Source organism: Homo sapiens, chromosome 6 (genome assembly GCF_000001405.40).
Source record: "Homo sapiens chromosome 6, GRCh38.p14 Primary Assembly".
Lineage (NCBI taxonomy): Eukaryota > Metazoa > Chordata > Mammalia > Primates > Hominidae > Homo > Homo sapiens.
In genome coordinates this window covers 72,171,593-72,195,972 of record NC_000006.12, presented here as the reverse complement: position 1 = coordinate 72,195,972, position 24,380 = coordinate 72,171,593, and the positions used below count along the sequence as shown (strand labels likewise).

The following is a 24,380-nucleotide window of genomic DNA, read 5'->3' as shown; positions in this document are numbered from 1 at the left end:
GAGTTCTCACAAGATCTGATGGTTTTATAAGTATCTGACAGTTCCTCCTTCATACTCTCGCTCTCTCTCACCTGCCGTCATGTAAGACGTGCCTCTTCCCCTTCCATCATGATTCTAAGTTTCTTGAGGCCTCCCCAGCCATGCAGAATTATGAGTCAACTAAACCTCTTTATAAATTACTCAGTCTTAGGCAGTTCTTTATAGCAGTAAGAGAATGGACTAATACACTTCTAGTCAAAATTATAAGCACTATGTGAGCAGTATGCATTATACTGCTGAAGCCCAAAGAGGATACTCCCAGTACGTTTAGTTTAAGAACTAAGTGACCATATAAAGCATTGCATAAGTTACATTTAAAGGATGTATCATCTTATAAGAGTTCCCGATTCTCCAATGATTGTCAGGTACCCAAACTTAACAGGCAATTATTCATATTGCCACAATCTACACTTGGTACCCTAACACCATCTCTATATTTAGGGGTAAAAGTCACATCTGTTATTAAGGGTCCTCAGTCTTATTCAGCTACTCATTGTTTGATATTCTTGCATGTATCATTTCTTAGACTAATCCAGAAACCTTATGCTCCTCAAAAGACTGCTAAACACTGCCTAGCAGTAACAGCTATAAACCAACCAACTGCCCCTTGTTATATAGGTTGACATCTGAAGCCATTCACAAAGCACTGTAGAAATTCAAAGGCATAATTAATTTGTGTTGTACTTTCTCAGTTTACTGAAAGTCAGCATGGAGAAGATAAAGAAGGAAGGAAATCCTGTTATCCTATGCCAGGCTCTTCTTCCAACTCCCTGCCTTAGGATTTATATATTAAGTTCCTTAAGTATAAGTGGCTTTCCCTTGGATCAAGACAGCACCTTAATTTCACTGTTTACTCTTAGGCCTCTTTACTCAATTCCTCACAGGCACGAATCTTCAGTATGAATCTTCAGTAGACCTTCTTTCAATGAATTATATTACATATTTCATTTAACTTTAACTGTTATTTTATAAGCAGGATTTAGTTCACTTTTTCTTCCATTTAGAGAGATTTATATTAGTTAGTATTTATAAGCTAAAAGACAAGAGATGCCCAATTTTTCTCACCTGGCAATAGCAGTATGAATGGCAATCACTTGTAAAACGTGGTTGTTAATCTCAATTTTTAGATAATCCCACCAGATAGAGCCCATTGTTAATCAGTGTGTGTGTGTGCTTTGCATGTGTATTCAAAGGAATTAAACTGTATTTGAAAGATTATATTGACTATAAAGGCTGTGTTATCTTTCAGATGCCATTTTGACCAGGTTACCTTTTGGTTTTGTGAGACAGCAAAACACATAGGAATATTATATCAATACATCAAGGAGAAATGTCCCTTTGAGGCATTTATCAAGTTGTATTTTATTGTGTAATTATTCCTTATTGTTTATTTTTCTCAATAGAATATAAACTCCATTAGAGTAGGAAGCATATTTTTTTTAACCTCAGTAAATACATAGAAAATGTGAAATACCTTTTTTTAACAAACATAAGAACAAACTCAGCATAAAATACAAATAGTAGTATATATCTATGACAATAATAGTACACATATATTAAGTAGTTACCATATGCCAGGTACTGTGTTAAATGTTTAACTTATATGTGTAACTGATAAACTGTCCTTTTAAATTTTATTCCATGAGGATAATCTTCCCCCACCTGAGATTCAAAAATGACATACTATTCTTTTTAACAAATCTAATTCTGTGAAGAATGACATTGGTAATTTCATAGGAATTGCATTGAATTTGTATATTGCTTTGGATGGTTATGGTCATTTTAACCATATTGATTCTTCTGCTACACGAGCATGAAATGTTTCTCCATTTGTTTGTGTCATCTATTTATTTCATCGGTGTTTTGTAGTTCTCCTTGCAGAGATCTTTCACCTCCTCGGTTAAATGTATTCCTATAGAACACATCTTCCACAAAGTGTTAGATTTTCAATTGTCATTTAAACTAAATATCAAGAAAACTTGAATTACTCTAAAAAAAAATTTCTTCCCAGATCATCCTTTGCCTTCTCACTCTATTGGGGCTCATAACATACAAAACTGTTTCTTTTCCCTTTTCTTTGTATATTATAGATATTGATAATTATCTCATAATTATGATAATAAACATATATGGTATTAGTACCACAGGCAAAATAAAGATATGAAGAATGTTAATTTAGCATCCTATTATAGATGCATTATCTCATCCAAACCACTCAACAACCTTATGAGGTAGATACTTTTATTTCAGTTGTGCTAATAAGAAAATGGAGATTTATGGAAGTTAAGTAACTTGTGCAGTGTCACAAGGTGCTGGAGATTATCATGGCTGGTTCCCAAAATCACCCTTAGTAGGCAATGGTGGAGTTTGCTAATAAAGTTATTAATAGCTATTACAGATGGCATTTCTAATTAAGTTTGAAATAAGCAAATCTCCATGCTACAGTGATAAAAGGTGTTGCTCTTTGTGTTTCATTTTGTAAAGGCTGAGATTGGTTAAAATATTAGAGTAGGATGACCACTTTAAGGTATAGTCACACAATTTATTTGAGAATGAGATCATTTATGTTAAGAGGAACCAGGTTGTCTTTATCAGATAAATGAGCGTCTGGTATCCTTGTGTTCCCAGATGCACAGGTTTAACACTAACTTCAGAGATGTGTACAACCCAAATGGTAACCAAAGTCTCCAGAATGATAAATTCCCAAGGAGGGGAAACAGCATGGTGAGGCAATAAGTTCTTCACATCAGACAAGCTCCAACCCTCCAACTACCCATGCCACCAGTCAGGTTTCTTTCATTATCTGCTGTTATTGTAAATAATTTTAGGATTTAATTATGTCTGATTCCATGCTCACTGTGATTTATAACACATATTCAATAAAAACTGGTGAAGAGCCCTTTAAGGAATGGGAGAATATACATATTGTGATGGTTAATACTGAGTGTTAACTTTATTGGATTGAAGGATGCAAAGCATTATTCTGGGTGTGTCTGTGTGGGTACTGCCAAAGGAGATTAACATTTGAATCAGTGGACTGGGAAAGGCAGACCACCCTCAATCTGAGTGGGCACAATCTCATAAGCTGCCAGCACAGCCAGAATAAAAGCAGGTAGAAGAACATGAAAAGACTAGACTGGCTTAGCCTTTCAGCCCTCCATCTGTGCAACTGGAATAATTAGATACTAAGGTGGCAGGAGCCAAGGGCAGCACTCAACCATCAAAGGCAAGGTGGGCATAGCTACCATAATGGACAGCAGAGGCAAAGCAGCAATCGGAATAGCCTGACTCACGTAGAGCTCTGGCATTGGCTAATTAATCACAGTGTTCCTAGAAGTGAAATTGATAGGACGCCTACTGCATTCTTAATTTATATAAGCAGAAAACTTCCAGGTTGAGTGGAAAAAAGACTAATTTGAATTATTAAAACAGAGAATCACAGCCCTTCAATCAATTTCCAGACCTGAGACAGTTTACAGACCCAGCACCCATTGAATGAAGGGAAAGCTGGGGGCTCTTGAGAAAGGACCCCACTACACTATCGACAATTTATGCTGTTACTCTTTCTCCTATCCTTCCCCAGGGAGACCTCCAGCCTTTTACCAGGGTAACTGTGCACTGGAGGAAGGAAAAAATGATCAGACATTTCAGGAACTACCAGACACTGGCTCTGAGCTGACATTGATTCCAGGGAACACAGCATGTCACTGTGGTCCTCCAGTTTAAGTAAGGGCTTATGGAGGTCAGGTAATTAATGGAGTTTTAACTCAGATCCAACTTACAGTGGGTCCAGTGGGTCCCCGGACACATCCTGTGGCCATTTCCCCAGTAACAGAATGCATAATTGGCACAGACGTACTTAGCAGCTGGCAGAACCCCCACGTTGGCTCCCTGACTGGTAGGGTGAGGACTATTATGGTAGGAAAGGCCAAATGGAAGCCTGTAGAGCTGCCTCTACCTAGAAAAATAGTAAATCAAAAACAATATCACATCCCTGGAGTGACTGAAGAGATTAGTGCCATCATCGAGTACTTGAAAGACCCAGGGGTGGTGATGCCCACCACATCCCCGTTCAACTCTCCTATTTGGCCTGTGCAGAAGACAGATGGATCTTGGAGAACGACAGTGAATTATCATAAGCTTAACCAAGTTGTGGTGACTCCAATTGCAGCTGCTATACCAGATGTGGCTTCATTACTTGAGCAAATTAACACATCTCCTGGTACTTGGTATGCGGCCACTGATTTGGCAAATGCCTTTTTCTCTATTCTTGTCCATAAGGCCCATCAAAAGCAATTTGCCTTCAGCTGGCAAGGCCAGCAATATACCTTTACTGTTCTACCTCAAGGGTATATCAACTCTCTGGTTTTGTGTCATAATCTTGTTCTGAGAGAGCTTGATTGCTTTTCCCTTCTACAAGGTATCACACTGGTCCATTACATTGATGACATTATGCTGATTGGATCCTGTGAGCATGAAGTAGCAAACACACTGGACTTACTGATGAAACATTTGTATGCCAGAGGATAGGAAATAAATTCGACTAAAATTCAGGGACCTTCTACCTCAGTAAAATTTCTAGGGGTCCTGTGGTGTGGGGCTTGTCAAGATATTCCCTCTAAGGAAGGTAAAGGATAAATAGCTGCATTTGGCAACCTTCTACAACCAAGAAAGAAGCATAACACCTAGTGGGCCTATTTGGATTTTGGAGGCAACACATTCCTCATTTGGGTGTGTTACTCTGCCCATCTATCAGGTGACCCAAAAGGCTGCTAGTTTTGAGTGGGGTCCAGAATAGAAGAAGACTCTACAACAGGTCCAGGCTGCTGTGCAAGCTGCTCTGTCACTTGGTTCATATGATCCAGCAGATCTAATGGTGTCTGAGGTGTCAGTGGCAGATAGAGATGCTGTTTGGAGCCTTTGGCAGGCACCCATAGGTGAATCACAGCAGAAGCTTCTAGGATTTTGGAACAAGGCCCTGCTGTCTTCTGCAGATAACTACGCTCCTTCTGAGAGACAGCCTCTTGGCCTGTTCCTGGGCTTTACTGGAAACTGAATGTTTGACCATGGGTCAAGTCACCACGCAACCTGAACTGCCTATTGTGAAATGGGTACTTTCTGACCCATCTAGCCATAAACTGGGGCCCAGCAGCATTCCATCATCAAATGGAAGTGGCATATATGTGATCAGGCTCAAGCAGGTCCTGAGGCACAAGTAAGTTACATGAGGAAGTGGCTCAAATGCCCATCATCTCCACTCCTGCCACCCTGCCTTCTCCCCCACAGCATGCACCTATGGTCTCATCAGGAGTTTCCTACAATCAGTTGACAGAGGAAGAGGAGACTAGAGCCTGGTTCACAGATGGTTCTGCACCATATGCAGGCACCAAATGAAGGCGGACAGCTCCAGCACTATAGCCCCTACAGCCCCTTTATTTCTTTCTTTCTTTTTTTTTTTTTTTTTTTTTTTGAGACAGAGTTTTACTCTTGTTGCCAAGGCTGGAGTGCAATGGCGCGATCTCAGCTCACGGCAACCTCTGCCTCCCGGGTTCAAATGATTCTCCTGCCTCAGCCTCCCGAGTAGCTGGGATTACAGGCATGCACCAATATGCCCGGCTAATTTTGTATTTTTAGTAGAGATGGGGTTTCTCCATGTTGGTCAGGCTGGTCTCGAATTCTTGACCTCAGGTGATCCGCCCACCTCGGCCTCCCAAAGTGCTGGGATTACAGGCATGAGCCAGCTTCCCCAGCCTACTACACCCCCTTTCTAGGACATCCCTGAAGGACAGCAGTGAAGGGAAATCTTCCCAGTGGGCAGAACTTCGACCAGTGTACCTGGTTGTACACTTTGCATGAAGGAGAAATGGCCAGATGTGTGATTACATACTGATTCACAGGCTATGGCCAATGGTTTGGCTGGATGGTCAGGGACTTGGAAGAAGCATGACTGGAAAATTGGTGACAAAGAAATCTGGGGAAGAGGTACGTGGATGGAACTCTCTGAGTGGTCAAAAACTGAAGATATTTGTATCCCATATGAGTGTTCACCAACAGGTGACCTCCACAGAAAAGGATTTTAATAATCAAGTGGATAGGATCACTCGTTGTGTGGACAACACTCAGCCTCTTTCCCCAGCCACCTCTGTCATCGCCCAATGGGCCCATGAACACAGTGGCCATGGTGGCAGGAATGGAGGTTACGCATGGGCTCAGCAACATGGACTTCCACTCACCAAGGCTGACCTGGCTATGGCCACTGCTGAGTGCCCAATTTGCCAGCAGCAGAGACCAACACTGAGCCCTTAATATGGCACCATTCCTTGGGGTGATCAGCCAGCTACTTGGTGGCAGGTTGATTACACTCGACCTCTTCCATCATGGAAAGGGCAGTGGTTTGTCCTTACTGGAACAGACACTTACTCCAGATATGGGTTTGCCTATCCTGCATGCAATGCTGCTGCCAAGACTACCATCCATGGACTCATGGAATGCCTTATCTACTGTCATGGTATTCCACACAACATTGCCTCTGATGAAGGTACTCACTTTACGGCTAAAGAAGTGCAGCAGTGGGCTCATGCTCATGAAATTCACTGGTCTTACCATGTTCCCCATCATCCTGAAGCAGCTGGATTGATAGAACAGTGGAATGGCCTTTTGAAGTCGCAATGACAACACCAACTAGGTGATAATACTTTGCAGGGCTCAGGCAAAGTTCTCCAGAGGGCTGTGTATGCTCTGAATCAGTGTCCAATACATGGTACTGTTTCTCCCTTAGCCAGGATTCACAGGTCCAGGAATCAAAAGGTAGAAGTGGAAGTGGCAACACTCACCATCATCCCTAGAGACCCACTAGCAAAATTTTTGCTTCCTGTTCCCATAACATTATGTTCTGCTGGTCTAAAGGTCTTAGTTCCAGAGGAAGGAACCTGTCACCAGGAGACACAATGATTCCATTAAACTGTAAGTTAATATTGCCACCTGGCCACTGCTACCTTTAAGTCAACAGGCCAAGAAGGGAATTGCAGTGTTGGCTTGGGTGAATGACCTGGACTATCAAGATGAAATCAGTCTACTACTCCATAATGGAGGTAAGGAAAAGTATGCATGGAATACAGGAGATCCCTTAGGGCGTCTCTTAGTATTACCATGCCCTGTGATTGAGGTAAATGGAAAACTACAACAGCCCAATCCAGGCAGGATTACAAATGGCCCAGACCCTCAGGAATGATGGTCTGGGTGACTCTACCAGGTAAAAAACCACAAACTGCTGAGGTGCTTGCAGAAGGCAAAGGAAATAAAGAATGGGTAGTAGAAGGTAGTCATCAATTCCAGCTATGGCCATGTGACCAAGTGCAGAAATGAGAACTGTAATTGTCATGAGTTCTTATTTTGTTAAGAACATATTTGTGCATGTATACACTTGTGCTAAGAAAATATCTTCATCTTATTTCCTTTTTCCTTTATCATGTGACATAAGATTTATTGACTTCATATCAGCATTTCAGTGTTGTTAACTCTATGTAACAGCATTTGGGTTGGGGATTGGTACTTTCTGGTTGTACGAAGGATAGTTGTATTATGTTCGGCATAATTATTACCTTATTATTGTCTTTATTTGAAGATTACATATGATTTCAGATGTGTATGGGTTCAAGTTGACAAGGGTGGACTTGTGATGGTTAATATCGAGTGTCAACTTGACAGGATTGAAGGATGCAAAGTATTGTTCCTGGGTTGTCTGTGAGGGTGTTGCCAAAGGAGATTAACATTTGAGTCAGTGGACTGGGAAAGGCCGACCCACACTCAATCTGCACAGGAACAATCTCATCAGTTCCCAGCACGGCCAGAATAAAAGCAGGCAGAAGAACATGAAAAGGCTAGACTGGCTTAGTCTTTCAGCCTTCCACCTGTGTGGGATGTTTCCTGCCCTCCAACACCTGACTGCAAGTTCTTCACCTTTGGGACTCAGACTGGCTTCCTTGCTCTTCAGCTTGCAGACAGCCTATGGTGGGACCTCACCTTGTGACCCTGTGAGTCAATACTCCTTAATAAACTCCCCTTTATATATACATCTATCCTGTAGTTCTGTCCCTCTAGAGAACCCTAATACACATATCAATCTCCATCAAGAGATTTCTGGGCTGGGCGCGATGGCTCCCACCTGTAATCCCAGCACTTTGGGAGGCCGAGGTGGGCGGATCACGAGGTCAGGAGATCAAGACCATCCTGACCAACATGGTGAAATCCTGTCTCTACTAAAAATACATAAATTAGCTGGGTATGGTGGTACGCACCTACAGTCCCAGCTACTCAGGAGGCAGAGGCAGTAGAATCACTTGAACTCAGGAAGCAGAGGTTGCAGGGAGGCAGAGGTTGCAGTGAGCCAAGATCACATCACTGTACTCCGCCTGGTGACAGACCGAGACTCTGTCTCCAAAAAAAAAAAAAAAACAAAAAGGATATCTGGACACAAATTAAGTATATCTACATTTCTATTTAATACCTACTTTATTACCTCAGGGAAAAATATGTGTTCATACAACAATATTAAGGCACAAAAGGCAGTCAAGATAATCTACCCGCCATTTGACTTTTTACAAGCCCATAAATAATATGCAACTTATAAAGAGAAGTCATTGGAAGGTGAGCTGACTGATCCCATATACATATATTACATTCCAAAGACACTATTTTAAGTTGGGTTGCAGCAATAATAACAAAATGAGCCCTCCCTTCCTTCCTTCCTTCATTCCTCTCTTCCTTCCCTCCTTTCTTCCTCTCTTCCTCTCCTTCTCTCTTTCCTTCTTGACGGGGTCTCGCTCTATCGCCCAGGCTGGAGTGCAGTGGCACAATCTCGGCTCACCGCAACCTCCACCTCACAGGTTCAAGCAATTCTCCTGTGTCAGCCTCTCAAGTAGCCTACAGGCGCATGCCACCACACCTGGCTAATTTTTTGTATTTTAGTAGAGATGGGGTTTCACCATGTTGCCCAGGCTGGTCTCGAACTCCTGAGCTCGGAAAATCCCCCCACCTCGGCCTCCCAAAGTGCTGGAATTACAGGTGAGAGCCACTGCGCCCGGCCAGAATGAGCTTTCTTAATTGTTCCTATATATAGTATGAGATTGTTCGGACACATATATATGGGGGGGGGTACATATATACATGCAGTTCGGACATAGAATGAGGAAGTGAAGTAATTCTTAAATTATAATATTTTGTATATAATTTATTATGCAATTTGGCAATTACAAACAAAGCCAAAAACTGCAAACAGTCCCCCTAAATACAAAAACATTAAGAAACACTGAAGGGCTCCAACACTTCTACAAGGATGATGACCAGCACCATTAAATTTAGGACTGTGGCCACTTTAAATCTGAGTGAACAGAAGCAAAATGAGGAGAATCTTCAAACTAAGCACATAATTTTAATATTACATTGAAACCTTTTCTACATAAGCACTATCTAATGGAACTTTTTGTGATAATCATTCTCGAGCACCAGGCTTTTTGGCTAGTTCTTCAGAAGAAGAGGAGTTTTAAGTTCATTTATTTAATTTAAATAGCTACATGGGGCTACAGCATTATATAGTGAAAATTCAGACCATCACACAATATTCCCACAACTTTTGGAGTATGAACTTTTTACCTCAAAGTTACTACCCAAAACACCATACATAACACCTTGCTTGATACAATACTTGTGAAGTACAGTTGATGCTTGAATAACACAGGGGTTAGGGGTTGACCCCCAAGTAGTCAGAAATCTGAGTATAACTTTTGACTCCAGAAAACCTTAACTACTAATAGCCTACTGTTGACAGGAACCTACTGTTTACTGATAGCATAAACAGTCAATTAACACAAATGTTGTATGTTATATGTATCATATACTCTATTCTCACAATAAAGTAAGCAATAGAAAAGAAAAGTTATTAAGGAAACCATAAAGAAGATAACATATATTTACTAGTCATTAAGTAAAAGTGGATCACCAAAAATGTCTTCATCCTAAAGGTCTTCATCCTCGTCGTCTTCACATTGAGGAGAAGGAAAAAGAGCCTTGCTGTCTCTGGATGTCAGAGGCAAAAGAGGTGGAGGAGATGGGAGAGGAAGCAGAAGAGGCAGGCACACCTGGTGTAACTTTATGGCAATGCATAGTAATTTCTGTCTGACATTTTTGCTTTTTTGTTTCTCTAAAAATTGGTTTCTGTATGGTACCAATCCTTTTTCCACCATTTGCTTTAGTGTCATTGTCTCTATCATAGAAGGATCCATGTGGTAAAAGAAGTCAAAAGGAGTCCTGAACAACAGGAACCCTCTACCAGACTGTCTAATGTCAATCTGTTTTCTGGCACTGCTTCTTTTACCTCTTCTTCCTCAGTGTCTGTCATTGCTTAAGAAGCACTCATCCATCAAGTTATCTTCTGTTAATCCCTCTGGTGTGGTGTCTATTAACTCTGGAATCTATATTTAGAACCCTTTCACCCCACACCTTTTTTTTTCATCATATCCACAATCTCTTTCATGATTTCCTTGATTTGCCAGTGAAGTCATGCACAACATCTGATACAATTTTCTCTAGAAGGAATGAATTGTTTTGGGTCTGATGGCTTTCATGTTTTTTTTCTATAACAACGATGGCATCTTCAATGGTGTAATCCTTCCAGATTTTCATGATATTCTATTTATCGGGGTTCTCTTCCACAGTGTTACAATCTTGTCCATACAGTACTATGTCAAATGAGCCTTTAAGGTCCAGAAGCCAAACTGGAATCTTTGTGTTTGAAGGCAAGTAGACCACTTCAACACCTTTCGTGTTGAACTCATGGGGTTCTGGGTAGCTAGGGGCATTGTTCAATATAAAAAGAACTTTAAAAGACAGTCCCTTACTAGCAATGTTCTTCCTGACTTCAGGGACAAAACATCCATGTATCTAGTCCAGGAAAATAACTCTTGTCTAGGCCTTCTTGTACAACCAAAAGGCTGGCAGTTATTGTTTATTTTTTCCCTTCAACACTCAGGGGGTTAATAGTTTTATACATAGAGGCAGCCCTTACTGCATTTGCACAAAACAGTAGAGCTAGCCTAACCCTTCCTGCCTTAAATACTAGTGCTTGCTTCTCTTCCTTACTACTAAATGTCCTTTTTGGCACTTTTTTTTTTTTCCCAGAATAAAGCACCTTGCATTAAAAACCTGTTCAGGCACATATCCTTTCTCCTCAATAATTTTCTTAATGGCATCTAGAACTCGTCTCTGCTGGTCCACAGAAGCTGCTTCTACTTTTGACATTTTTTAAAAGCCAAACCTCTTCCTTAAATGATCAAGCCATCCTTTTCCGGCATTAAATTCTCTAGCTTTAGGTCCTTGACTATCCTTCTGCTTTGTTATATGACGACTTTGCTTTTTCCTAATATTAGAGTCTATAGATACACATTTTTATAGCAATCCTGCAGCCACATAAAAGCTGCATTTTTAAGGCAAGATAAAAGTTTTTCACAAAAAGTGCACGGGTTTTGCTCCTGCTGACGTAGCTGCAGCAACAGCGTCACAAATTTCTTTTTCAACAATAGTCCTTACACTGGTTGAATTTATCTTGAAATGGTGGGCAACTGCAGCTGCAGACCTCAATCTGCGGTACACATCAAGCAATTCAACTTTTTCTTGTAATGTCATGACGTTGCTTCTTGGGAGCACTTCTAGTGTCACTAATGACACTCTGTATGGGTCTCATGGTATTATTCAAAGTTAATGGTATTGCACTAAACATCACAAAAAATACGTGAGAACCACAAGATACCACGCAATTTACTGGAGAAAGAAACTGCTCAAAGGGAGATGATAAGCATCACAGGGCATTTTAAAGTGGTGCTCGCAACACTAAAATCACTGGAAGAGGCTAAGGAAATTATTACAGTAATACAGTATGCACTACAGTTAATTTCATGCAGCTATGATTTAATACCGCATGTTTACATATTTACATTTCTTCCCACTGCAAATGGCGCCACGTAGTCTATAAGTGTGTGTTTAAGGTTTTATCATTTTTAACTTTTTATAATAGATTCATGTACATTTTATGATAGCAAATGATAAAACAGACTAGTATCTATATATATAGTATGCATTCATGACATACCTAACTTTTTCTTATTTTATTAAAATATTGCCAGGCTACCCGGTTCGTCCACAAGTTTTTAAAATTGCTGCAATTCTCAAAAAAAAAATCCAGTATATTTATTGAAAAAACATCCATATATAAGTGGACCCATGCAGTTCAAATCCGTATTGTCCAAGAATAAACTGTAATCTGTTCACAAATTGTGAGAAAGGTTAATTTGAAGTTTGAAAAAAAAAAAAACTACCTTTGCAACTGTAATATTACGTAACTGATGTGGTTTTTTTTTAATGTCTACTTCCTTTATAAGGCATAATTTTCATTTTCTAGCAAACAAATTGTTTTTCACAGAATAATAAATCCACTCTAAAATAATATCTTAAAAATATTAGACTGCATACCAAATTTACCAGAATGACAGAATGCAAAATCACCAAGAACTTTTGTAGCCTAAGTTTGGAGCTTGTTGTGTTTTAAAATCCCACAAATCAATCAATAAAATTAAATTAATAAAAATAAGACCTTCCACTGGCGGTAACGCTATCTTATCTGTGAGCATTCCCAGCCTCAATGCTGAACCCAGCAACTAGCCTAGCACCTGCACCTCTGCCCACGCCTCTTCACTTGGCTGAAGTCCCCGCACGGCCGGCGCCGCCCCCTTACCTTTCTCGCTGACGCTCTCGCTCTCCAGCTCCACGTCCTCGCAGCTGGTGTACTCGGGCGTCGACACGCCCTCCTCCTCAGAGCTGCTCACCGACATCTGCCGCTTCTTGCCGCCTCTCTTGGACCGGTGCGGCTTGGGCGGGGACGGCCGCACCGACTCGGACTGGTCTGAGCTCAAAGAGTCGTTCCGCAGCATGGTCTCCACCTTCTCGCGCTTGGCCTTCCGCATGAGGACCGCCGAGCTGGGGTCCAGGCGGCTCTGCTTCCTGAGGGGCTCCTGGGCTTTGAGCTCCGGGGCTTCTGCGGGAACCGGCCCATGTCTGGGCGCCGGCGGGCTGTGGTTCGTTAGCTGCTTGGCGCCCGGCGCCCTGGTCTCCGCAGTTCTCTCAGCCGAGTAAGCCCGCGGCGAGTCCGGCGGCGAGGCCCTGGCTGCCGCCGGCGCGCGTTTGCCGGCCTTGCCCTCCGGCAGCGCCGCGCCCGCCTCGGTGCGCGGGAGCGCCACGTCGCTGTGGCGCCGCTCGTGCCTGGCGCGGGACACCCGGGCGTGCATGCGCATCTGCTGCTCCTCAGGCGGCGGTTTCACCGGGTACCGAGCTAGGTTCGGGTCGCTGCGGTACCTGGTCTGATAATCCTCCTCTTTTCTTTGCTTTTCCTCATCCGCCGCTTTGCCCTCATCCCGTTTTTCCGGCGTGTCTGGGTAATCCTGTGATCGCCCTTTCTCAAGCCTTCGGCTTTCCCGCCTTTCTTTGCGCTCCCGTTCTTCGACGGCCCCCTCCACGGGCTGCGCTGAGGTCTTTGGCACGCGTTTCCGCTCGCTCTTCAGGGCTCCTTTGCCATTCTGCTCGGAAAGCCCTGGGGTCTTCTTTCTATGATATACAAAGGAACGTCAAGGAGAGCAATTTATAAAGACTAGACATAAAAAACATGTTTTCTTCTCATTCCAGTCTTAAATCATTTCAGTTACAATAATTAGTTATAGGGATTTGGATCTGAAGGTGGAACTGTAAGGGTGTTGGAATTTTACAAGGTAAGGGATCTAATGGGAACACATATTAATTATTACCAAATATAGTTTTCATAAGAGTGTCATGCTTGTACTACATTTAGCAGCTCATTGAAGCATAGTTGCTCTTGTTAGAAGTTTACATTGAATCAATTTACTTTTCTTGAAATGCTGAAAAATACTTACCTTGCAAGGTTCATGTGAGGATTAGAGACACCATCTGTGAAGATGTTTTATGAAAGGGTAGAGTGTCATGCAAATGGAAGGAGTTCTCCAGTGTCTCTGATTCTTTGCTCTACTAATTATACTTTTTCTCATCTCTACCTTTAATTTTCTGTTTCTAACTCCTTGACAGTACAAAATACGGTCAAGAATTCTTCAGTAATTTAAAACAAATAAACAGTGTCTCTTTCAATCTTGCTTCTCCCTGAAGTTGCCCAGCTCTTTACACTGGCCACCTCTCTTCCTGCTTCTGTACTTCCCAATTCCTCATTGCTTTCCTGTGAATTTATATCATTAGTAAAGTTATTTGTCCCTATCAATCTTCTTCAAATTTTAACTAAAAAGTCAGAACAAAAAGTATCTATTCAGCCCTTGTTCTTGAAATTTTTATAGTTTTTCACTATATGTCAAAAACAGAACTCTTTTCTCTTTAGAAACTTTACAGCTCCAAATTCTCTATCTTATTTAAAGATATCATCTTCCAACCAGTTCCAAACTGCAGCTTCAGTATTTTTGTCTCTTCTTCTCCCACAACAATTTGTCACCAAATGCTATTAATTCTACGTTCCCTGAGATATCTCTGGTGTCCTTTCTATCCTTTCTCCAAATAGCTTAGTAACACTCATTCTCTTGTACTGCCCTCTTATACGCTGTGTAGCTCCCCTACAACTCCTGAGTATCTTACAAAGCTTAATTGAGAAGTCACTTCCTCTTTCCTAGGGCTCTCAAAATACTATACATATTGCCTAGCTTTGATCAAATTAGCATCCTTGTTAATTACCTAGGTGTCTGTCTTCCCTAGAATAGTGTGTGGTCTCTTCCCTAGGATTTGTCAGAAAAGGGACCATGTATGTTCTAATCATCTTTATGCCCTCTGGTTCCTGGCACAGTGTTTATCTGTAGTAAATACACAATGACTACTGGCTTGAATAATAGCTACATTCACTGAAAGCCTACTATGTGCCAGCTTGGGAACACATGTTCTCTTTTAATACCTGCCACAACCCTGCAAGTGAGTTTTTACTGCCTATTGTGGCAGAGCCAGGACTAGAATCCAGACCTATTTAACTTTGAAGTCCTTGATCTTTTACTGTATGGGCTTTGCTTGAAAAGGGGTTCAAAAGCTTTCCTTGGAGCCTCCTTTCTCCAAGTAATGGTTACACATACAAAAACAATAAGCCCAGTCTAGGTGCTAACAAAAGTCCTGGCCCCAAAATCATGAGCCTCATGAAGATAAGGGCTCTGTCTTCTTTGTCAACACTTTTTCCCAGTGCATAGCTTCATGTTTGCCCATGAATACATTTTTGAATGAATCAATCAAAGTAAATAATCTGATCATATTCGTCCCTGTTTAAATATTCAGTGGCTTCCCTTTCACCTACAATAAAAGCTATAAAATGTAACCTGTCCCTTCACCACCTCACCAGCCTTTTCTCCTCCACATTGCCTCTGCTACTTGCACTGTAGCCAGCAGCTATCCTTTAGGAGGCCCTCACGTTGGGCTTGTTCCTTCAGGCCATGTGCCTGTGCAGATACCTGGAGCACCCATCCTTCCCTTCTCCTGGTTAATTTCAAAGTCACTCTTTAGAGCTCAGCATAAAAGAAATACCCTTAAAGAAGGCTTCTCTGATGTGTCCACATACTTTCTGATAGGTCAGATTCCCCCATCACATCCTCTCAGAGCACACTTTTAATTAAAGGGCTAGGTTTATAAGTGAAACATGATCTAAGAGCTTTTCTGAGTTCATCATTGGAAGTTGGTAGCTCAGCTGGGTGACTTAGTTCATGTTTACATCTGTGCATGATATGAAAGAAATGCTTTCAACAAAGGTCTCCTAAGGAATACATTCTAGAGATAGACAACGCCCCTCAGGCCTTTTGTTTTTCCATGTGGGGCCTGAGAAGTACTACTTCCACATATTCCTCGTAATAGAAGTTAAATTCTTGAAAACGGCTTTGCTCTCCTAGCAAAATCTTGCCTTTTGCTTACAGGGTGAAAGAACTATTACCTCTCTCTAGGAGGTTCACTTCTAGACCTGGATGAAGCCTGCTTCTGTTCAGGCCCCAAGGCTTGCTGCGAGGGCTCAGCCCCTTTGCTCCTGTCTGGTGGTGCGCTGGGAGGAGCAGCATCCTGGGAGGAGGCAGCTGCTGTGCTTAGGGGTGTCTGAGACCGCGATCGCTCTTGGAGTCGTGCTTTCTTTTCTCTTGGTACCTCAGAGCCAGCACCTGTAGCTGTATCACTCAGGGTTCCATCCTGACTTGTCTGCTGAGGGCCACTTCCAAAGAACCATGCCCCAGATTTGGTTAAGATTTCTTGTTGCTTTCGACATAAATTGCATACCCACATAACCTATTTGAAGAAGAAAGAACAATATAAATTTTTATGCCCTCTTGGAAATAATTTTTCAGTATCTTAAAATATATTTAAGAAAAAAAGAACAGTATTCATTTTCATATTTATCCTTGCAAATTTCTTGTGAAAATGGTCCTCCCACAAGTCACAGTCAAATATATGAATGCCTAGACAGGGACTTGTCTGAGACTAGAGAGCCTCTCAGCAGCCAGAGTAGAGGTTTTTTCTCAGCATTTCTGATTTGATTATTCTGAATTTCCTTTTACCATATATCTGTCATATTTTTTATAATTGACTCTGGAGTGTTAGCAAAAATGTTCTAAGCAAGGTAGTTAACTGATTAGAAAAATGTTACCAGGAAAAAAAAAGAAAAATGTTACCAGGAACTACAGAATCAGTACGTAAATACATAAACCTCAGTACTTGCAAGTATTTTTAAAAAGTCTGTCTTTTCAAAAATCACCCACAATTAAAGGCAATATTAAAAATATTCACATAGAAGAAACATACAAAGTAAGCACACAAAAAAGGTCAATGTGTATATTTTCTCTAGTTTCTTAGTGATAAACTAACCTTAAGCTTATTTATGCTATAAAATATAATTTTCCATGCACATATTTACTAAAGCAATAAATGTGACTCTGAGTTTATTCATATGTGACCACTCCAATGTAATGTTCCCCAAGGAGAGCTATTGGGGAACCATCATTTAGCAACATATCCACTGATAAATTATAAGATGTAGCACCACTTAAAATAAACTATATGTCTGTTCTCCATTTGATGACCTTTAAAATGAATGTAATAATGAGGACGATTATCATAATAAAAAATAATAATAGCAGCAATGACTAGCTGTCACAGGGCAAAGATAGGTGCTAACAGCTCCATGAGCTGTCTTTTCAAATATCCTCAGTACCTCTGTTTCTTTGTGCTGTGACTTTACATCGCTGCCTCAGTTACATGCCTCCAAAAGCACTTCAGGTGTTTTGTGTTTGTTTCTACTTCAGAAACTACCTCCACAGGAAAAACTAATTACCAAACTCTAGGCTTCCTTTTCACAAATACTGACTCAATCAACATGTACTCAAAAATATTGCATCAGGATGAATAAATCGTAGAAACATTAACTGATAAGTAATAGAAAATAGTAAAAGAAGCATTGTTTAGTAGGTCAAATGAAGAAAATGAACTACTGAAAATATTCAGATAAATGGGGAAAAACTGTAACTGTAGCCATAGAATAAGATGAAGCTAAAATAAGAATAAGAAAAAGACAGGAAAAAAGTAATACACTTTTTTAAAAGGAAAATACTGCAGGTGAATTAAGAACTGCTTTCCAGGAAAGAAAACTCAAATGAATTATAATATAGGAAAAATTAAGACTGAAGAGAAATACTTGCTATAAAAAATTTAAAATTCATGAAGGTTAATTGATTTATTTAGACTTTCCCAGTCATAAAATGAAGTGTACTAGGTTCAAAAAAGCAGTTAGGTATAATGTCTACACAAAGTATTATAACCAATATTACGGAATTCTCATCTACTAAGATGTCAAACAAGATGAACAATTCATTGCATAAACCTATATCAAAATAAGGATTTTATGGAAAGTAACTTCAATTTAAGTGCTAGCCAAATAAGGGTATATTTTACAAAATCTATTACTGAGTAGGTCCCTCAGAAGTCCTGATTGTTTGAACATGGACATATTAAGGGTAACATTAAAAGGTGCAGTACTCCAGGGCCAGGACCTTCATGAACAGTCAGTGACACTGAGTCTCTTCTGCCCAGAACCCTGAGTGGGGACAGGACGTGTGTGGTGGGAAGGTTTTGGTTGGTTGGTTTGTTTTTTGTCTCTTTAGCTGACAGACCATAATAAGAAAGTTTGAAATCATGTAATTCAACAAGACTGGTATGAAATTTTGACTATTTTACATCAAATAAGAAGACGTTAAATTTGTATTTCTCAGACTAATAGTAAGCAACTTATTATCATCATTTAAAGTAGGTTCTTTTCAGCCAGGTGTGGTGGCTGACACCTGTAATCCCAGCACTTTGGGAGGCTGAGGGGAGCAGATCTTCTGAGGTCAGGAGTTCGAGATCAGTCAGGCCAACATGGTGAAATCCCGTCTCTACTAAAAATACAAAACTTAGCCGGGCATGGTGGTGCATGCCTATAATCCCAGCTACTTGGGAGGCTGAGGCAGAAGAATCACTTGAACCCGGAAGGCAGAGGTTTCAGTGAGCTGAGATCCCGCCACTGTTCTCCAGCCTGGACGATAGAGCGAGACTCCATCTCAAAATAAATAATAAGAAATAAAATAAAATCAAGTAGGTTCTTTTCTACAGAAATATCAAGGTATACTTAGGATAAATATGCAGTTTTTAAAAAACCAGAAAACACAAATTTACAATTACAAAGTTTCTAAAATTGAATAAAGCTAAATAAAGAAGCAGAAAGGAGCACAATAATACTGATGAAGGGTAAAGGATACTCTTCATTTTACATTTGAATATTCTCTAGAAATTATTATCACAATCTTATTTTGATTGCTTCACATTTTTAAACGTTACAAAAAATGGGTCAATGAGAACTAACTGCCAGATTTGGGCATGTTCCAAATTTTGAGTATGTGCAGAACTGCTACCAGATCAATTAAAAGAAACACAATTTATTATTATTAAATAAGTTGAATTTTACAATTTAATTTCATTTCCAGTTTATTCAAAAGGTTACAATTAGTGACTATGTCAAAACAGCATAGGCATTTTAAATTCTATTCTTAAAATACTTTGTATTCATTTAAGTCTGTGATGCTTTGTTAATTTTTTTGTTTTTAACATTTAGTAAAATACTGTATAATTCCAAACTTTTTCTATGTCTTATTTCCTTGTACACCACAACATTTTTAAATTTGTATTTTTAAATTAACTATAAGTGTAGTCAATCCATCCTCCAAACTGAAAGTAAAATTAACCATGGCAATGTTAAAATATTTATTTTTATCAAAATATCACCTCCCAGTCTCTATTTTCAGTTCTACAAATTAATCATACCACAAATTTTACAAATAAAAAATAAATTGCTCATATAAGTTATAAAGAAAAATATATAAGATTACAATAGAATATTGTCATACATTTCAACACAGTTAATACCAAACATTGCAGACCTCTACAGTACATTTTTTGAAGTCAGTATTAAGTATTATATTTGCCTGAAGCTATAGATAATACAAGAGTGCTGTAGGGAGTCATTTTTAACAGATTTTTTTTTAGAAAAGAGGATAAGACGTAACTTTGCCTACAAAAAAATGCTATTTATTTAAAGCACACAAACACACCTTTTAGAAATTGCACTATGCAGGATTATACCCTGATTAAATACCCTGGGATGTGTTCCAAACTAATCTAAACTAAAGTAGGCCTGTGCAATAACTTATCTTAACAATTTACAGATGTTAAGCAATCACACACAAACTCAATTCAAATACTATCGTGAAGTTACATGACTTTTGAAACACCATGCCACATATCAGAAAATATGCAGGACTGAAAATTGTATTCTGACCTTTTGCTGTAACTGCATTTTTAATTGTCTTTTCCTCTTAATTCTTAAGAAGTACAATAAACTATTTTATAAAACCCATAGGAATTTTTTACCCAGAGAAATAAAAATTGCAACACTTTCTACTATACATATACAGAAAATTCCATAGATAAAACCACAAGTTTGGCAGAAAAACTAAAAAGGTATTCAAGTGGAAGAAATATTAAAATATTTACAGAGCCGGACACACAGAACAAAAGAAATGTGCCCTTGATTTATTCTTGATGATATTACTAAGGTGATTCACGACGAGGTCTAGAATAATTTCTTTTTTTTTTTGGTGGGGGAATGGAGTTTTGCTCCTGTTGCCCAGGCTGGAGTTCAGTGTCGCGATCTTGGCTCACTGCAACCTCCGCCTCTTGGGTTCAAGCGATTCTCCTGCCCCAGCCTCCCGAGTAGCTGAGATTACAGGCACCTGCCCCCACGCCCAGCTAATTTTTGTATTTTTAGTAGAGACGGTGTTTCACCATGTTGGGCAGGCTGGTCTCAAACTCCTGACCTCAGGTGATCCACCCTCCTCAGCCTCCCAAAGTGCTGGGATAACAGGCGTGAGCCACTGCACCCAACTCAGAATTCTTATATTAACACAAATGTCTTCCTTATAAGAATCCATCTGAGGTACTTAGTATTATAATATAAAGAATAAATATAAGCATGAAGGTTTAGAAAAAGAGATTGTGATTCAATTTTCATTTGATACTTTTACAGATAAATTTTAAGATCAATTTTCAATGAATATAGGATGTTTTTAAAAATTATTATGGTACCATTTTGAAAAACATGAAAAAGAAGACGAGATAGTCAATTACAGTTGCTCATTTTCCTTTCTCTATTCAGTAAGCACTCTAGCAGAAACTGGGGACAAAATTATCAAGGTAATATTTCAACTTTGTTGACAAAAGTAGATGAGAGGGTAGAAAAGAGTAGATGTCAGAATAAATGAGAATGAGTTCTCTTTGGTTCTTGTAGTGTGAATGTGTATGTGGGTGGGAATGGGTGGGTGTATGTGGGTATGTTTCTCTTAGTCTTTTATTGTTGTTATTGCTATTCATAAATTTATTTCCCTTTGGAAGTTTATAATATATGTGGTTTTATGAAAGACAAAAATATGATATAGAATGTTTCTTTTTAATGGGTAAATCACTTCCCATTCCACTGTCTTACTATTAGCATTTTAATACAATTTTCTATGCAAATTTAAAATAACTGAGATTCCACTGTTACTCTATATCCTATTTATATATTTAATATTATGGCACAAGTATTTCTATGTGATTCTAAACGTTTCTAAAGCATTTTAATATCTGCAAAATATTCTACAGAGTTGGAATATCACTTACCTAGTCCTTAAACTGCTTATAACCTTTCACATTAACACAGAACTCTGCAGTGAAAAGTGTGTTGATCAAACTTTTTTTCATATTTATGGTCTTTTTTTAGGATACATTAGAAAAAATCAAATTATTTGGTAAAATTTTAGAACATATTTAAAGCTCCTCTTATATAATCACTGTGTGGTAACAGTTGGGGCTCTCTGTATAATTTGCAAAATAGCTTCCCAAAAGGGGTGCTAAATTGTAACCCAAAAGTGACAATATCAATTCTGCATTTTAAAATCTAATGACTTAATAATGCCCCCAAACCCTATACTCTTACAAATATTTCAAATTTGAAATAATACAGTGAGATTCATTTAGATAATAGAACCATAAACCCCACAGCAAAAGAGGACCCTCAAGGAAGGGAGATAACAATGAATTTCTGCTAAGTGTATGTATGTAAAAGGGTGGTAAGTGAAACAAAATGGAGGAAGCTGTAGCTCAAATCACAGATGGAGGAGGGCCGTAACCAAGAACGGAGTTGATTTTCTCTGCAGAACCCATGAGAAGATCTAGGTTAGATGGCAGATACTATGGCAGGAGAGAAGTGAGAAATAGAATTAAAACAGATGACTATTTGTCTTTTTTTTTTTTAAGTTTATTTTCCATATGCAGAATGACCACTTTCCCACAAATCTGAAACAGACAGGTGTTGTTGACCTGCAAAGAGCCTTTCTCATTCTGGCAGGTAGGTTTTCTCCATCCTAATGGCTGATTCTCCAGTTGTTCACTTAAAAACACCTCCCACATATGCACACACAAACACACACCCCAATCATCCATTCTCATGCCTCGCTTTTGTTTATTCCCCTATATATGGCTAATCAAGGAACACTAAACTATTAAAATAAAAACTATAACATTAAAGAGAAAGGCTAAAATCAACATAGAGAAGAATTAATGTTGGAAGAGTAAAAGATAATTCCAGGAAATATCTTAAAGAAACCTTAAAATAACCTTTAATTAGTGTTCAGATGTCAACCTTAAAAGAGCTTTTAAAATTAATGGTAAAACTGTCTCAATAAAAGAAGAATTTAAAAGAAAGGATGTATGAAAAAACAAGAGATAAGAAAACACATGAGATAAAATGTTAGAGAGATAAAACGTTAGAGAGATAAAACACATGAAATAAAAAACATGAGATAAAAGTTCTAGAAAAAAAGAACAAAATATGGAGGGGAATAAAGTTGCAAAAATAATAGAAGACAAATTCCCAGAATGGAGAAGTCATTGCATATTAATACAATGAATGGAAAAAGAAACCACCAAGATAAAAATCATTATGAAATTTCAATATAACAAAGCTAAAAAAAAGATCCTAAAAGTATCCAGAAAGAAAATGTTGGGTCCTAGAGAAAGGAATAGGAAATAGAATGGTATCAGAATTCCCATCAGCAATACTGGATGTTTGAAGACAAGGGAGAAATACTATCAATAGTCTTCAGGAAAATGATATGGGTCCTGAAATTTTATATATAGGTAAACCATCAATCAAATATAAGGCAGTTTAAGAAATTTTCAGAATTTGGAAGAACTTGGAAAATTTACCACTCACATATCCTTGTTAGCAAAACAAAATCTACCAAGAAAGAGGGAATCCAGGAAGCAAATGGTTTTCACAGAAGAGCAAATGTTAAGGGAAGTCCCATGATGAAGAGCCCTCTTTGAAACCCTAGAGAGAAATTTCGAGCAGGAGGATGGAGACTCTAGAATGAGGATTCTGGGAGCAAAAATTAAATAAACCAGAAGACAACAGCAACAACACAAAAGGCAAATTGATCAAATGCATAGTGCGATTTTGAACACAAAACAAATGAAACAAAAACTTCATAGGATAAAGGAATTTAGCTAAAGGGAGGACCCATTTACATTTGAAGCTAAGAACATTTCCCATCAAGTAGGACAGTGGTCATGGTATCCAATCCATAGAATATGAAGCATAATCTAAATTCATTGCTTGGCTCTGGTTAATGACTGTGTTAAGCTGCAGAAGTGAACCACAGAAGAAACAAAATAGAGATTTTGGGTGGAAGGACAGAGGAGTTAATGACATCTCTGTGCTTTAGTATCTTCCTTTATTTTTATATGTCATTGCAATACTACAAGAGCTGTGAAGAGTTTATTAGCCCAAATATAAATGCTTAATAGTGCCTTGTCTCTCATGAATAGACAAAGTTGGAGAATAGTCAAAAGACTTTTGCTCTTTATTATTAGCCTTCTGTTTCATCTTTTATCCACATATACACAGTTACATAGTTATATGTGGTATTACATATAGCTATACATTTATCTTTTAACATATTCATAACATGATTAAAAATATTTTTTTGATCATTTACCATTTATTGATGATTTTATCATTTTTTTATTCATTTAAGTTGTACCGTTAAGGTAAACACTTTGTTTCGAATGTTTTCCGTGTTTGTTAGCATGTAAACTAATCAGGTTTTTGTGTATTTATGAATTAAATTCATAGTATTTCTTACCAATTTAATTGATTTATTAACTCCTTGATATAGTTTTTTTATTAATTTTGTTGCTTGCCATATTGGTTTTTTTCTGTTATCATAAAGATGGTTTTCATTTTATATCATCTATTCTATTATTCTCTTCCTTTGCAATCCTTCTGTTGTACTTTAGCTCAGAAAGTGCTTTTATAAATATTCACTTTTATTTTCATTGACTATTTATATGGTTGAACATTTTACATTGTCTTTCTTGATCTCTCAGAATCTATTTTGAGGTATAACAAGAGTTAGGGAACTACACTCATTTCTTTTCATAGATAACCGTCTCAACATGTTTACTGAAGGATACTTCATTTCACTGTCAACCTGCAAAGAAGAGTGATTTCTAGAGTTAAACTGCCTAGGTTCTCATCTCACGTCCATCTGTCAATCCACTTACTTGCAATTCACTCAGGCCAACTTGCAAAGCCTCCCAAAGACTCATTGTCATCATCTATAGACAGGGGGTAATAATAGTTC

General features: G+C 38.8%; 1 protein-coding gene across 22 annotated transcripts in view, besides 1 other annotated feature; it reads right to left on the bottom strand.

The window, feature by feature from the left end:
- The window catches only part of RIMS1 (regulating synaptic membrane exocytosis 1), a 516,596-nt gene that overhangs the window by 207,173 nt on the left and 285,043 nt on the right, over nt 1–24,380 (bottom strand). For all 22 annotated transcript variants that reach the window (NM_014989.7, XM_017010517.3, XM_047418419.1 and 19 more), the window contains 2 exons: nt 16,058–16,398; nt 12,824–13,689 (listed from right to left, as the gene is read on the bottom strand). In NM_014989.7, coding sequence (NP_055804.2) covers nt 12,824–13,689; nt 16,058–16,398 — 1,207 coding nt within the window. The remainder of the gene's footprint in view (nt 1–12,823; nt 13,690–16,057; nt 16,399–24,380) is intronic.
- Nucleotides 12,774–12,913: an enhancer, noted in NCBI's record as "active region_24736". NCBI's record gives its function as "activates an Ori minimal core promoter by ATAC-STARR-seq in GM12878 lymphoblastoid cells {active_cell/tissue: GM12878}" and the evidence as "EXISTENCE:reporter gene assay evidence [ECO:0000049][PMID:35858748]".